Genomic DNA, 16,483 nt, shown 5'->3' with positions numbered 1-16,483 from the left:
ATCTCCTGGGCTCAAGGATCCTCCTGCCTCAGGCTCTAGAGTAACTGAGGTGGGACTACAGGCGTGTGCCGCCATGCCTGGCTCATTTTTCATTTTTATTTTTTGTAGAAACAGGGTCTTGCTATGGTGCTTAGGCTGTTCTTGAACTCCTGGGCTCAAGTGATCCTCCTGCCTTGGCCTCCCAAAGTGCTGGGATTACAGACACGAGCCATCCGGGATGAAAGTTTTTAAATCCAAGGGGCCCACCTTGGATTTAAAAGGGAGAGACAAGGGACTTCTCAAGGCCCTGCTCATTTTACAATTATCCTAGACAGTAATAAGACACAAATTATTATAATTAGAAAATGGAATAAATGTCTTGGCATGTAAACATTAATTGCTATTAAATAAAAACAGAAAGTAGAAACCAAAGATACTTATTGTTTGTACTTCTTGTCCACTCAATTTGCTCACTACAGACTTTTTATTTTCTGTCCAGAGCTTTTTCCTTCTAATTTTTCTAGACAGTTCTCCTAAATGTGAAGATTCCATTATTTGAGATATCGAGAACATGGAATGAATTTAGATTATTTTTCATAGACCACAACTCTACCTCCCACAGAGCCTGGGTAGGGGGAAGAGCTCTCAGGCACGTTCTTTTAAGGGTATGGAAGGATGTAAAGTGCTGTTGTATTATATCCACCCATAAAGTGCTAGGAAATTTGTTTGGAAAACATGCCTATGTTTATAATAAGCATTCTTTTCCTGTGCTCTAGGGCCGGTCACATTTTCACCAGAATGCAGCAAACATTTCCACCGACTCTATTACAATACCAGGGAGTGCTCAACGCCAGCTTGTAAGTAACTTGGGTGGGTTTTTTTTTTTTTAATTATCCAACAATAAATGCGTTTAATTTTAAACTTCAAATGTCTGTGGGTGGGAAGTAGTAGACTAAACATTGAGATTCTATTTATAACACTGATTTAGAACACTGACAGAACCTAAGGTTTGTGTGTACTGTTGCCACTGTAAGGAATGAAACCACATTCTAATTGGGAATCTACTCAAATCTGATAATAGCCAGATTTCCTTAAAGACTAAAGTGTTTGTTAGGATTTAAACATTTTATCATGATTCGAATTCCTTGGCATAAATAGGGTGCTGTCTCAAATAAATGAAAAAAATGAGATGACTGTGAACTCTAAGTAAAAATTTTTTCATAAGTTATTTTAAAGTAAATATTTTTTATAGCACATCATTTATATAATGGTGCTGGATTTTTCTGAGTAATGATAGCATGTAAAGGTTGCTATAATGAATTCTTTTGGATACTTAAGTTACTGAAGTTAATAATAATTCTAAACATAATATTTAAGTGCTCTCATTTGAAGTGCCGAAATTATGACTATGTGTGGTAACTCAGTTCGCTGTTTTTAAATTCCTTTCTAAGCCTCAACTTTCCTTTTAAAGAACATGAATTCTAAGCATTTTGTTTCTTTTTAACTAGATTGCTCATCTTGAGGAATATTGACTTTTACTCAGCATGTTAAGTTGTATTTGTTATAATTTTTTTCAAAAACAACTTTTAAACAAAAGGCCAGGAGTGTTGGCTCACGACTGTAATCCCAGCACTTTGGGAGGCCGAGGCAAGCGGATCGCTTGAGCTCAGGCGTTTGAGACCAGCCTTGGCAACATGGTGAAACCCTGTCTCTACCAAAAATACAAAAATTAGCCAGTCTTACAACCCGGCTTCTAAATAAATAAATAAATAAATAAGTAAATAAATAAATTAAAATTCCAAAATAAAATAAAATAAAACAAAACAACTTGTATTAAATGGCTAGAGAAATTTAATCACATTGGATTACAGGCAGAATGACTAATGGTAGCCAAGCATGGTGGAGAAAGCACGTGCTTTGGGATAAAGCTTTTGACTAGTTATGGGGTAATTAATTAACATTTTGAGGCTCTTGTCTCATCTCTAAAGTGAAGATAGGAATAGCACCTTCCCGATTGTGTTATTGAAAGAATTGATGAGAAAATCCATTTTCAGCACTTAACATAGTAGGTATTTATTAAACTGTAGTTATTGTTATATGAATTAGTGACAATAATAACAGGATTTCCCCAACATTTCTAGTAACTCTATATATAATTTACCTTTAAATGTTTTTCCTAGATTACAAAAGATGTGCTAGATTGTTAACAAGATTAGCAGTGAGTCCACTGTGCTCCCAGACCTAGCAAAACTACCCTGTGAGTATATATTTATTTTTCTTATCCTGTTTAATAGTCTAACTTTATTTTTAAACATTTTTTCCTTTTCTTTTTAGTTGACACATAATGATTGTACATATTTATGGGGTACAGTGTTACATTTTGATACTTGTATGCCTCAAACATTTATTCTTTTTTATATTGTGAGCATTCAAAACCTTCTTTTGCAGCTTTAAAAAAATATACAATGAATTATGGTTAACCAGATTCACCCTACAGTGCTGCAGAGCCCCAGAACCCGTTCCTCATGTCTCGCTGTAGTTCATATTCACTAACCAAGCTGCGCCTCCCCACTCCTCTTTAGCCTTTTTTTTTTTTTTCGGAGGCAGAGTCTCGCTCTGTCGCCAGGCTGGAGTGCAGTGGCGCGATCTCTGCAATCTCCGCCTTCCAGGTTCAAGCGATTCTCCTGCCTCAGCCTCTCAAGTAGCTGGGACTACAGGCACGTGCCACCATGCCCGGCTAATTTTTGTATTTTTAGTAGAGACAGGGTTTACCATGTTGGCCAAGCTGGTCTCAAACTCCTGACCTCAAGTGATCCGCCCACCTCAGCCTCCCAAACTGCTGGGATTACAAGCGTGAGCCACCGTGCCTGGCCCTCTTTAGTTTCTAATACCCAACATTCTACTCTCTACTTCTATGAGCTTTTTTTTTTTTAGCTCCCTCATATGAGTGAGAATATTTATCTTTCTGTGCCTGACTTACTTCACTTAACATGATGTCCTCCAGCTTCATCCATGCTGCCTAGAATGATAGCATTTCATTCTTTTTATGGCTGAATAGTATTCCGTTGTGTATATACACATTTTCTTTATCCATTCATCCATTGATGGACATTTAGTTTGATTGCCTATCTTGGCTATTGTGGATAGTACTGCAGTAAACATGGGGGTGCAGGTATCCCTTTGATATACTGATTTCCTTTCCTTTGGATAAATACCCAGTAGTGGGATTTTGGGGTCATATGGTAGTTCCATTTTTAGTTTTGTTCTTGAGAAACTTCCATACTGTTGTTCATAATGGCTGTACTAATTTACATTCCCACCAACAGTATATAAAGGTTCCTTTTTCTCTGCTCCTCACTAGCATTTATTTTTTTGTCTTTTTGACAATAGCCATTCTAACTGAAGTGAGATGATATCTCATCATGGTTATGATTTGCATTTTCCTGATGATTAGTGATGTTTAGCATTTTTTTCATATATTTGTTAGACTTTTGTATGTCTTCTTTTGAGAAATGTTTATTCAGATACCTTGCCCTCTTTTAAATCAGATTATCTGTTTTTTGCTGTTTAATTGTTTGTATACTCTGGATATTAGTCCCTTGTCAGGTGAATGGTTTGCAAATCTTTTCTCTCATTCTACATGTTGTCTCTTCACTCTGTTAATAGCCTAATTTTCTTAAGAAAATGTTTGAATAATGTCAGAAGCCAGGAAGCCTATTTTAGCAATACCCATGAACTTAATCTATGGATTTTTCACTAAATGTTAAAACTCGGTCCAAATGAAAAGACCGTTTTAATGAATTAGTTTAAAATATCCTCAACAGTGATTGAATTAAAATAGTTTTTTGACAACCTTACCAGCCCTGAGTGATTTCCAAAAATCTTTCAGCATTTAGTGTTATTTTATGATTATGCAGAAACATTACGCAGATAGGCATTAGATTAACAAAAGTACTTAGATGTTCTATTTTTTAACTGTCCAAAATAGATAATAAAAAAGAAACCAGGTCTTAAAACTTCGGTACAGTTTTGGTACTGTAGGTAGGAAACAGAGAGAAGATATTGTAATAATAAGAGAAAAAGCAAAGAATAAAAAAGATAATGAACATGTAGTTATTTCTTGCTCTAGCCTATTACTTTACAAGAGTGAAATGGTAAGTCAGAATTTTCATTCTGGCTAATTTATCGTAGGAGCCCTTGGGCAATAGAGTATTTGTACGATCCTAAATAAATTGAATGTAAATTGTAACATTTATTTAAAAAAGTAGAATCTATACAAAATACTGAAAGGTACTTATTTCTTTTCAAATATTTCTTTAATCAGTAGTTCTTTTGCAGTGTAGTACCAAGTCAACTTTTTTTGGGTCAGCATTTCAGTACCATGGACAAGTCCTTTTAAGGAAACGGGTTCCTCAGGTTGTGAAGGTGGGAATGAAAATCATAGAGGATGGCTGGGCATGGTGGCTCACGCCTGTAATCCCAGCACTTTGGGACGCCGAGGCGGGTGGATCACTTGAAGTCAGGAGTTCGAGACCAGCTTGGCCAACATGGTGAAACCCTGTCTCTACTAAAAATGCAAAAATTAGCTGGGTGTGGTGGTGCGTGCCTGTAGTCCCAGCTACTTGGGAGGCTGAGGCAGGAGAATCGCTTGAACCCAAGAGGTGGAGATTACGGTGAGCTGAGATTGCAGCACTGCACTCCAGGCTTGGCAACAGAGCGAGACTCCGTCTCAAAAAAAAAAAATGGTCATAGAGGACTTGTAGTCTAAGATTACTCATGAATATCTTGAACTGGCCAGTGTAACTCAATATCAATATATCCCACATAACTGCATGGAGATTTACTTAAACTATCTCACAGTTTTGTTGTGACAATTACTGAGACAATCTTGACCTATCACTGTTGCTATACTTAGTCTTATTTTAAAAGTGATTATTACACATTAATGATAATAATTAGAACTGTTAGTTCTGCATATCTACAGTTGCTAAATTGAAAACAATTTTTTTTAGATTAAGAAAATAAACTAGATTATTTTAGTGGCAAGATACTTAATTCAATTACTCTCAATCTACCTGTCTCAAAGCTTTTTTTTCTTTCTTTCTTTTCTTTCCTTTTTTTTTTTTTTTTTTTTTTTGAGACAGGGTCTTACTCTGTTGCCCAGGCTGGAGTGCAGTGGCTTGATCATAGCTCGGTGTAGCCTCAACCTCCCAGGGTCCAGTGATCCTCCCACCTCAGCCTCTCAAGTAGCTGAGACTATGGGCTCATGCTGCCATGCTCATCTAATTTTTTTTTTTTTTTTGGTGGCAACAGAGTCCCACTGTGCTGCCCAGGCTGGTCTTGAGCTCTTGGGCTCAAGTGATCCTCCCATCTTGGCTGCACAAAGTGTTGGAATTATACACATGAGCCATTGTGCCTGGCCTCAACTCTTTTGAACAATGCAAAACATGAATCAAGATAATTCACTTGGTTATTGAAATGACCTAAACCAAGTTATGTTTATCTCTTTCTTTGTTTTTAATATATTCCATGTAAATGAGTAAATTTACCTAAAGTCCTCAAACAACACAATACTGGAAAAGTTTTCCCAAACAAGTACTGTGTTATAATTTAAGATAATGTACACAAATTTACATTCTCCTGGGCTAGATCATAGAAGACAGAGCTGATAAACATGACTTTTAAAAATTATAGATTTTAGAGACTTAGTGATTTCTCTCTATAGGAGTTATCTGTGATAGTATCTGTTTTGAATTATTTATTTAATAAGGTTTACAATCAATACTACAGATTAATAAATGTTAGGGATATTTAATGAGTTGTTTACAAGATGTCAAGTTCTTTTCTGTTTTGGTATGTCTAGATATCATAAATCTTTAAGGGAAAAATCAATAATTAAAGTCTCTAAAAGTGCTGATCAACCTTCCTGCCCCTCTGCACACACATTAGTCTGCATTCTCAGGATTAGACTGTAAATTAGGAGTCCACAGAGTCTTTAAGCAAAATAAAACTGTTGAAACTGTACATATTTATAAGTATTCTAAAAACCAGGTCATAAATGATATGGCTCTTCTTTTACCCCCACAGACATTTCCTAAGAATGTACATCTAATTTGAAGAAAAAGTGCCTCAAATCATGCAAAATGTAAAAAAAGATGAAATTTATATTTTTATGGATATTAAGATGAGTAAAATAAGAGACTTCCCAGAAATAACTGGTTAGCTGTTTCCTGTCATAGAATGGAGTCTTTCTTGCTTTATCTTTTTGTGTATACAGTAATTTATAATTTTGTAAAACAGAGTTTGAATCGCATATTGAAAATTAGATATTAAAAATTGTGTGATTGTATTTTATTTTTACTAGATATATTATTTTCTTTATATGGTTAACATTCTAATTAAACATTTAATTGTGTAAATTATATCTGTGAGTGCCAGTGAGAAATAATGATTTTTTTGTATATGACTGTTAGTATATATTTGTCAAATCATCGTGTACCAAGTTAAATTTTATAATTCTTATTTAATATTTAAATACATTTATTTAGAACTTGTTGTCTTCACTTGCATTAATTTGAACTGTGAATTTTATTAAAGTTGAAATATGAAAAAATGTGTTGTTTCCTTTGAATTAAAGATGTTTGTAATAGAGGTTATGCTTTTGAAGTGTGATTACTATATAAGTATATGTGTATAAATATGTATTGTTTGAATTGATAATTAGAATCCTGAGACAATTTCTGCCTTTTAAAGTTAGAACATCTGGTATTGCTCTCTTAAATACAAAGAAGTCCAGTTGTTCTTGGACTGGCGAGCTGTACATCAAGGAGTGAGAGGAATGTATGGGTGGCCTGAATGCTCTGTTTAGAATGTAGCAGAATACTCTGATGCATCCAGGAAGTTTCATTTAAAAACAACAGTGAAAAAAAATCGTGACCCTACAACAAAACAATGGAGAACCTCCATCCCTTTAATTAGTAGACAAATCATGAGTTGCTTAACAATACCTAAACAGTGCAGTCATTGACTTTGTATCACTTGCCAACTGCTTGTGTTGGTGTCATGAAGACATATGTATCTCTGTGCCATATGGAAGCCATCACTTCAATTATGCAGTGCTTTTGGTCTCTTGCATAACTTCCAGACACTGTTTCGTGTCTCTTTGTGTATGTATGCATACATTGTCCTTTGTTCCTCAGAAAACCAAGCGAAAAAAATGCCCCTTGGCTTCAGGAATATTATGAAGCTCCATTCTCAATTTTTGGTTTCACTTATTTTGGTCTATGAGCAAAGATTTACAAATAATTATGTTTAAAAAATCTGAGGTGGAGGAGAAAATTCTGCAGTAATGCTATGTAATAATGAAAAAAGACTACTTTTTAGTTAATTGTACTTATCATAATAATTGTAATTCTATATCTGGGAAAATGAAGTAGTTTTTGATTATAAGTATCTGGGGAGCTGAGGGCTATTTTTATAAAGTGAAGAGGCTGTTGAATGATGATATAAAAGAACTTACTGGTGAGACATATTTGGCTGAAATACAAAAAATAGCCTAAAGGGGCTTCGTGATTAGTATGGTTTTAATAAGATAAATGATTTCAGATGCAATTCTATGAAATTAGATTTTAAACATTCCCATAGATAAGTAGTATGCCTCAGAAATGTATTGCATGCTATATATTTCTCAAAAACCCACAAAGATATATTAAATATTACTCCAGTTAAAATCATGTTTATTTTACTACATGATCCTCATTTTCTCATTGTATTAATGAGAAAATTTTCTCACATGGGCAAATGAGTGATTTAAATGAGAGTAGGGTAAAACATTCATGGTTACTTGGTAAAGTAATATCCACACATCAGAGAAATGATCTCATTGTCTAAGCAGCAAGCCAGGAGGTTAACAATGTTTTCGGAATATTTAGAGCTGCATCAACTAAGTGGGCTGTTCTTAACTAGGTACTTAAGGGATTTAGGCAAACAACCCAGTTAAGCTTGGAGCTGTCTGTATAATTACCTAACCTTCCACTTGACTTCTTACCATAGATCTTTTGGTTTGAAAGGCAAAATGCAGTTAGTAAAGCTAGCCCTTGACACATTCTAGAAGAGAGGAAGTGGGTTTTAACCTTGGGGTGGGGAGGGGAGGTGTATGTGTCTTATCATTTTCTACATGGTAAAAAATGGTTGACTGGAAAAACTAACCCTATCTAAAGTAGCCTTTCCCCACATTTTCTGGCTTAATTTGCTTAAAAATCATATATCAGTCTATGCAATCACACTTGATGGTTTCTTATCTACCTCACCACAATAAATGGTGATGAATTCTCTCTACAAGAGAAGAGACTGTCTTCTGAAGTATTTCTAGAGCCTACAACAATGCCTGGTTCCTAGTAGGTACTTTGTGTAGTGAAAGAATAAACAAACATCTCGTACTCCAATGAATGAGATTAATGAACACACTGTAACTGGTAATAAAAAGCAGACAATGACTTATGAAAACACTATTGAGCAGTTGTCTAGTGACTCATCAAAACTTTTAGGTTTTCTATGAAAACATTGTGTTTACCCACTTCATTTCTACTCCTGTAACTGCTTCAATTTGTCCAACTCATGGATTCAAAGAACCTTACACTGGCATTGAAACTCAATGCCTGTGGGCCAGGTGATTAACACAAGTGATTTGATTGTACCACAGAGACCCAATGCAGTCTGGGGTAGGGCAGGTTTGCAGCCCCACTGCATCTCACTGGCCATGCTGCTAAGTGGGAATGCAAGCTTCCTTCTGATTTTTCTAGGAAAACTGCAATCTGGATTTTCATGTGAAACATCTCAGTTTCTAAATGTTGGCATTTACTAGAAAAATTCCAATGTATATGCCAGCCAAATAAAAAATTTGGAGCCCTATTTGAGCCTATTTGGCTCAGAAGCTGCTATTATTTGACATCTGATGGACATTTTTAACTTGGGATTTTTTTCAGTTTGACTTCCTTTCATCCCCTTTGAAGAACTGGGATCCCTCTTCTGTCTGGTCCCTATGGAGATATAGTGGTGAGTTTTATATTTGTGCCTTGGCTTTGGCCTGGCAGCTCCCTAACACCCTGCTCCTGGGGAACTTTCTCCCGAGCTCCTGTTGTGTAGCCCCCAGCAAGGTAAACCACATCTCCATGTGTTTCACAGAACGCTGAGCTACTTCTTGATCCTTGACAAAGGTGAGTCTTTGCCTCTTCAGTGTGTGCCAATCATAGGTGGGGAGGTTGATGAAGGGAGAGAAGTATAGAGAGGGAGTGAGTGAGATAGAGGGGGAGAGAGAGAGAGAGAGAGAGAAGAGAAGAGATGGTTTGAGATAAATACACTGCTCTATTTACCTATCTGCATCAAGCCAGATGTATTAGTGTTCTCTTAGAGGGACAGAACTAATAGGATGTGTGTGTGTGTGTGTGTGTGTGTGTGTGTGTGTGTGTGTGTGTGTATATCCTATTCCCTATATATATATACACATCCTATTCCATATATATATATATATATATATATGAATTTATTAAGTATTAACTTACATGATCACAAGGTCTCACAATAGGCTGTCTGTGAGCTGAGGAGCAAGGAAAGCCAGTCCAAGTCCCAGAACTGAAAAACTTGGAGTCTGATGTTCGAGGGCAGGAAGCATCCAGCATGGAAGAAAGATGTAGGCTGAGAGGCTAGGCCCATCTCTCTCTTTTTCACATTTTTCCGCCTGCTTTATATTTGCTGGAAGCTGATTAGATTGTGCCCACCAGATTAAAAGTGGATTTGCCTTCCCCAGCCCACTGACTCAAATGTTAATCTCTTTTGGCAACACTCACACAGACACACCCAGGATTAATACTTGGTATCCCTCAATCCAATCAAGTTGACACTCAGTATTAATCATCACAAATCCACCTCTTGTCAACTCAAACCCATACATATCTCCTGAGATCATACATAATCTTCAAATTAAGAAAATAATGAGGTCATAATTATGCCTAACATAACACAACTATCCTTCATACAACAGGAAACTCACCAATCCCCAACCCAAATACTATTACATAAAGTTAACAATACTTAAATGCTGATATGAAGTCAGTAAATCTTATGTCACATGATAAAGGAAAAGGAAATAAAATGAGGATATTTTCTTAGTACAAGTGTATACATGAACAAACAAGTTTTTAACAAAAGAAGGAGGAAATACTCATGACCATTATAGTCCTCATTTCTGGAGCTGGTCACATGGTTGTAGCTGGTATTGATGACTATCTTCTTCTACTACCCATTCTGTATTCCCTTTGCCTTCAGCAAGCACCTCAGCAGGTCATGGTTTTTTTCCTGGTGGAGTGACCCAAACCTTCATTCCTGAAGTGTCTTGACCATTTGTACTCCTGCCTGGACTGAGCTGTTGCAGTTTCCCATTGACCTTAATCACAGGGCATGTTAATACTGAGAGATGCCCTAGTGAATCTCCTGTGTTCTATGCATACTCTTCCTTACCTCCATTACAGAGTAGTAGACAGTTTTCATCTTGATAGTCCGGATCAATCACCTCATGCAACACTGTAACTCCCTTCTCAGCCTGTTGACTTAAAGGTAGGAGGAGTCAAAGTGTGCAGGTGGCAATCTTAACTTCCAGTTTAATGGAATTGTTGTGTCTCCTGGTGGCAGCATTCCTCCCTCTGGAGCTAAGACCTCTAGGCCAGCAGAACATAATGTTGTGGGAACAGGAAGCAAATTTTTGCTAGTGGATCACTAGGGGTGATGGTGAGTGGCGCCACTTCCACTTCCGCCCCTTGATTCCTGAACCTGTGCATCTTGGCTATGGGAGAAACGGTACCGTATATTGGACATTGATTTAGAGCATGCACAGCTTTCTGGAGAACTTTGCCCCAGCCCTGCAAAGTATTGTTGCTTAGTTGGCATTGTAATTGTGACTTCAAAAGGCCATTCCACCGTTCTATCAATCCAGCTGCGTTAGGATGATGGGGAACATGGTAAGACCAGTGAATTCCATGAGCATGAGCACACTGCCACACTTCTTTAGCAGAAAGTGAGTGCCTCGGTCAGAAGAAATTCTGTGTGGAATACCATGATGGTGGATAAGGCATGCTGTGAGTCCATGGATGGTAGTCTTGGCAGAAGCATTGCTTGCAGGATAGGAAAACCCATATCCAAAGTAAGTGTCTATTACAGTGAGGACAAACCTCTGCCCTTTCCATGATGGAAGAGGTCCAGTATAATCAACCTGCCACTAGGTAGCTGGCTGATCACACCAAGAAATGGTGCCATATCAAGGGCTCGGTGTTGGTCTCTGCTGTTGGCAAATTAGGCAGTCAACAGTGGCTGTAGCCAGGTTGGCTTGGTGAGCGGAAGTCCATGTTGCTGAGCCCATGTGTAACCTCCATCCCTGCCACCATGGCCACTTTGTTCATGGGCCCATTGGGCGATGACAGGGGTGGCTGGGGAAAGAGGCTGAGTGGTGTCTACAAAACGGGTCATCCTATCCACTTGATTATTAAACTCCTCCTCCACTATGGTCACCTGTTGGTGAGCACTCACATGGGATACAAATATCTTCACAGTTTTGACCACTCAGAGAGGTTCATCCACATACCTCTTCCCTAAATTTGTTTGTCACCAATTTTCCAATCATGCTTCTTCCAAGTCCCTGACCATCCAGCCAAACCATTGACTACAGCGCATGAATCAGTATATAATCACACATCCGGTTATTTCTTCCATGTAAAGTGCACAACCAGGTGCACTGCTGGAAGTTCTGCCCAGTGGGAAGATTTGCCTTCACTGCTGTCCTTCAGGGATGTCCTAGAAAGGGGCTGTAGTGCTGCAGCTGTTTACTTTTGAGTGGTGCCTGCATATTGTGCAGAATCATCTGTGAACCAGGCCCTAGTCTTCTCTTCCTCTGTCAACTGATCATAGGGAACTTCCCATGAGGCCATCGGTGCAGGCTAAGGGAGAGAAGGCAGGGTGGCAGGAGTGGAGACCATGCGCATTTGAGCCACTTCCTCATGTAACTTATTTGTGCCTTCAGGACATGCTTGAGCCTGATCACATGTATTCCACTTACATTTGATGATGGAATGCTGCTGTGCCTGAACCACTTTATGGCTAGATGGGTCAGAAAGCACCCAGTTCATTATAGGCAGTTCAGGTCGCATGGTGACTTGATGACCCAGAGCCAAACATGCAGTTTCCACCAAGGTCCAGTAACTCGCCAAGAGCTGTCTCTCAAAAGCAGAGATGTTATCTGCAGAAGATGGCAGGGCATTGCTCCAAAATTCAACAGCCTGGACCTGTTGCAGAGCCTTCTCCTGTTCTGGACCCCACTCAAAACTGGCAGCCTTTCGGGTCACTTGATTAATGGGCTGGAGTAACACACTGAAATGATGAATGTGTTGTCCCCAAAATCCAAATAGGCCCACTAGGTGTTGTGCCTCTTTCTCGGTTGCAGAAGGGGCCAAATGCAACAACTTATCCTCACTTTAGAAGGAATATCTTGACAGGCCCCACACCACTGGACCCCTAAACATTTTACTGAGGTAGAAGTTCCCTGAATTTTAGTTGGATTTATTTCCTATCCTCTGGCACCCAAATATCTCACCAATAAGTCCAGTGCATTTGATACTTCTTGCTCATTGGATCCAATCAGCATAGTGTCATCAATGCAATGGATGGACCAGTGTGATATCTTGTGGAAGCAAAAAATGGTCAAGGTCTCTCCAAATAAGATTATGACACAAAGCCAGAGAGTTGATATATTGCCATGCTATTTACAATAGCAAAGACATGGAATCAATCTGGGTACCTATCAATGGTAGGTTGGATAAAGAAAATGTGGTACATACACAACCATGAAATACTATGCAGCCATATAAAAGAATGAAATAATGTCCTTTGCAGCACCATGGATGAAGCTGGAGGCCATAATCCTAAGCAAGCTAACACAAGAAGAGAAAACCAAATGCCACATGTTCTCATGTGTAGGCAGGAGCTAAACACTGGACACACATGGACAAACATGGGAACAATAGACACTGAAGATTATTAGATGGGGGAAGAAAAAAGTGGGTGTGGGCTAAAAAAACACCCATTGGGTACTAGACCAACTACCTGGGTACAATATATGCATGTAACAAACCTGCATATTTACCCGCTAGATCTAAAATAAAAGATGAAATTTAAAAAAGGAAATGCAAATTAATACCACAAAGGGATATTGTCATATGTCAGAATGTTACATAGTTTGTATATTTGTTCCTGCCCAAATCTCATGTTGAATTGTAATCCCCAGAATTGGAGATGGGGCCTGGTGGGAAATGACGGGATCACAGGGGTGGATTTCTCATGGATGGTTTAGCATGATAGTCTTGGTGCTGCCCTTGTAATAGTGAGTGAGTTCTCGTGGGACCTGGTTGTTTAAAAATGTGTGGCACCTCTGTCCCTCTCTCTTGCTCCTGCTCTGGCCATATGATACGTCTGCTTCCCTTTTGCCTTCTGCTATAATTATAAGGTTCCTGAGGCTTCCTCAGTAGCTGAACAGATGTCAACACCATGCTTCCTCTAAAGCCTGCAGAACTGGGATCCAATTAAACCTCTTTTCTTTATAAATTACCCAATCTCTGGTATTTCTTTATAGCGATGCAAGAATGGCCTAATACAGAATGGATATTATTAAAAAGTCAAAAAAGAACACATGTTGGCATGGGTGTGGAGAAAATAAAATTCTATACATTGCTGGTAGGAACATAAATTAGTTCAACCTCTATGGACAGTAGTATGGAGATTTCTCAAATAACTAAAAATAGAACTACAACTTGACCCAGCAATCCCACTACTGGGTATCTACCCAAAGGAAAAGAAATCATTATATTAAAAATATGCCCATACAGTATCTGTATCACAGCACTATTTACCATAGCAAAGTCATAGAACCAACCTATGTATTTATCAATGGTTGGATAAAAGATATATATATATATTAAACATATATTATATATTATATATATTATGTTATATTATACATATTATATGTATATATTATATTATATACATATTATATGTATATATTATATTATATACATATTATATATTATACATATATTATAGATTGTATAATATATGTAATATATTATTTAATATATGTATAATATATGTTATATAATAATATATGTTAATATATGTATATATAAAATGAAATACTATGCACCCCCAAAAAAGAATGAAATCATGTCTGTTGCAGCAACATGGATGGAGCTAGAGGCCATTATCCTAAGTCAACTAACTCAGAAACATAAAAACCAAATACCACACATTCTCACTTGTAAGTGAGAGCTAAGCAATGGGCACAAATGGTCATAAAGATGGAAAGAGTAGACACTAGGGACTCCAAAAAAAAGGAGGATTGTGAAAGGGTTAAAAAAATTACCAGTCGGGTACAATGTTCACTATTTAGGTAGTGGGTACACTAGAATCCTAATCTCCATCAGTATGCAACTTACCCATGTAAGAAACAAGCACATGTACCCCTTGGATCTAAAATAAAATAAAATAAAAAATAAAAGAGAATTGATGTTGTTAAAATGAGCAACTACCCAAAGCAACTTACAAATTCAATGCAATCCCTATTAAAATACCAATGGCATTCTCCACAGAAGCAAGAAAAAATCTTAACGTTTGTATGAAACCACAAATGACCCTGAATAGTCAAAACAATCCTGAGCAAAAAGGATCCTGAGCAAAAAGGACTTCAAAATATACTACAAAACTATAGTAACCAAAATGTCATGGTATCGGCATCATAGTACTGGCATAAAAACAGACAAATAGACCAATGTAATCGAATAGAGAACCCAGAAATTAATCCACATATCTATAATCAACTGATTTGTGACAAAGGTGCCAAGAACACTCACTGGGGAAAGGACAGTTCTGGGAAAACTGAAACTCCACACCCAGAAGAATGAAATGACCCCGCCTCTCATCTTATACCAGAATCAATTCAAAATGGATTAAAGAACTAAGTGCAAGTCCTAAAGCTATAAAACTACTAGATGAAAACATAGGAAAAATGCTTCAGGACATTGGTCTGGGTAAAGATTTTATGAATAATATCTCAAAAGCACATCACATAGCAAAAAAAAAAAAAACAAACCCAAATGGGATCATATCTTTCATTTTTTTCCTTTTTTTTTTAGCAGACTTTTTTAGTATCCAACAAAAGGGATTACATCAAACTAAAAAGCATTTGTGAAAAGTGAAAAGACAACCTATAGAATGGGAGAAAATATTTGCTATTCATTTGACAGCAGATTAATATTCAGGATATACAAGGTCTCCAAACATGTCAACAGAAAAAAAAAACCAATTTGATTAAGAGACGGGCAAAGTTTCTGAATAGAAATTCCTCAAAAGGAGACATACAAATATGGATAACAAGTATATGAAAAAATGCTAAACATCACTAATCATCAGGGAAATGCAAATCAAAACCACAATGAGGTATCATCTCCACCAGTCAGAATGGCTACTATTAAAAAGTTAAAAAATAACAGATGCTGGTGAGGTTGCAGAGAAAAGGGAACATTTACACCTTGAGGGTGGGAATGTAAACTAGCTCAGTCATTGTGGAAAGCAGTGTGGCAATTTCTCAAAGAAGTTAAAACAGAATTACCATTTGACCCAGCAATGCCATTTTTGGGTATATAAGCAAAGGAATATAAATCATTCTACCATAAAGACACATGCACGCATATGTTCTTTGCAGCACTATTCACAATAGCAAAGACATGGAATCAATCTAAATGCCTATCAATGGTAGACTGGATAAAAAAAATGTGATACATAAACACCATGGAATACTATGCAGTCATAAAAAGAATGAGATCATGTTAGTTTCAGCAACATGGATGGAGCCGGAGACCATTATCTTAAGCAAACTAATACAGGAACAGAAAACCAAATACCGCATGTTCTTGCTTATAAGTGGGAGGTAAATATCGAGTACCCATGGACACAAAGAAGGGAGCAACCGACACCAAGGCCTACCTGAGGGTGAAGCGTGGGAGGAAGGTGAGGATAAAAAACTACCTGTGGGGTACTATGCTTATTACCTGGGTGACAAAGTAATCTGTACACCAAACTCCTGGGACACAAGTTTACATACATAACAAGAAACGAAGTAAGAAACCTGCACATCTACCCCTGAATCTAAAATACAAGTTAAGGCCGGACGTGTTGGCTCATGCCTGTAATCCCAGCACTTTGGGAGGCCGAGGTGGGAGGATCACTTGAAGTCAGGAGTTCAAGACCAGCCTGGCCAACATGGTGAAACCCCATCTCTACTAAAAATACAAAAATTAGTCAGGCTTGGTGGTGGGCACCTGCAATCTCAGCTACTCTGGAGGCTGAGGCAGGAGAATCACTTGAACCCAGGAGGTGGAGGTTGCAGTGAGCCGAGATTGCATCACTG

General features: G+C 37.7%; 1 protein-coding gene across 1 annotated transcript in view; it reads left to right on the top strand.

The window, feature by feature from the left end:
• Positions 1 to 6,630, top strand: part of ALKAL1 (ALK and LTK ligand 1) — a 31,394-nt gene extending 24,764 nt beyond the window's left edge. The window contains exons 3-5 of the mRNA NM_207413.4: positions 756 to 836; positions 2,160 to 2,236; positions 6,067 to 6,630. Coding sequence (NP_997296.1) covers positions 756 to 836; positions 2,160 to 2,224 — 146 coding nt within the window. The 3' untranslated portion in view covers positions 2,225 to 2,236; positions 6,067 to 6,630. The remainder of the gene's footprint in view (positions 1 to 755; positions 837 to 2,159; positions 2,237 to 6,066) is intronic.
• Positions 6,631 to 16,483: the final 9,853 nt, after the last annotated feature.

Source organism: Homo sapiens, chromosome 8 (genome assembly GCF_000001405.40).
Source record: "Homo sapiens chromosome 8, GRCh38.p14 Primary Assembly".
Classification (NCBI taxonomy): Eukaryota; Metazoa; Chordata; class Mammalia; order Primates; family Hominidae; genus Homo; species Homo sapiens.
Note: the sequence above shows the minus strand (reverse complement) of the source record. Positions and strands in the feature narration are given on the sequence as shown.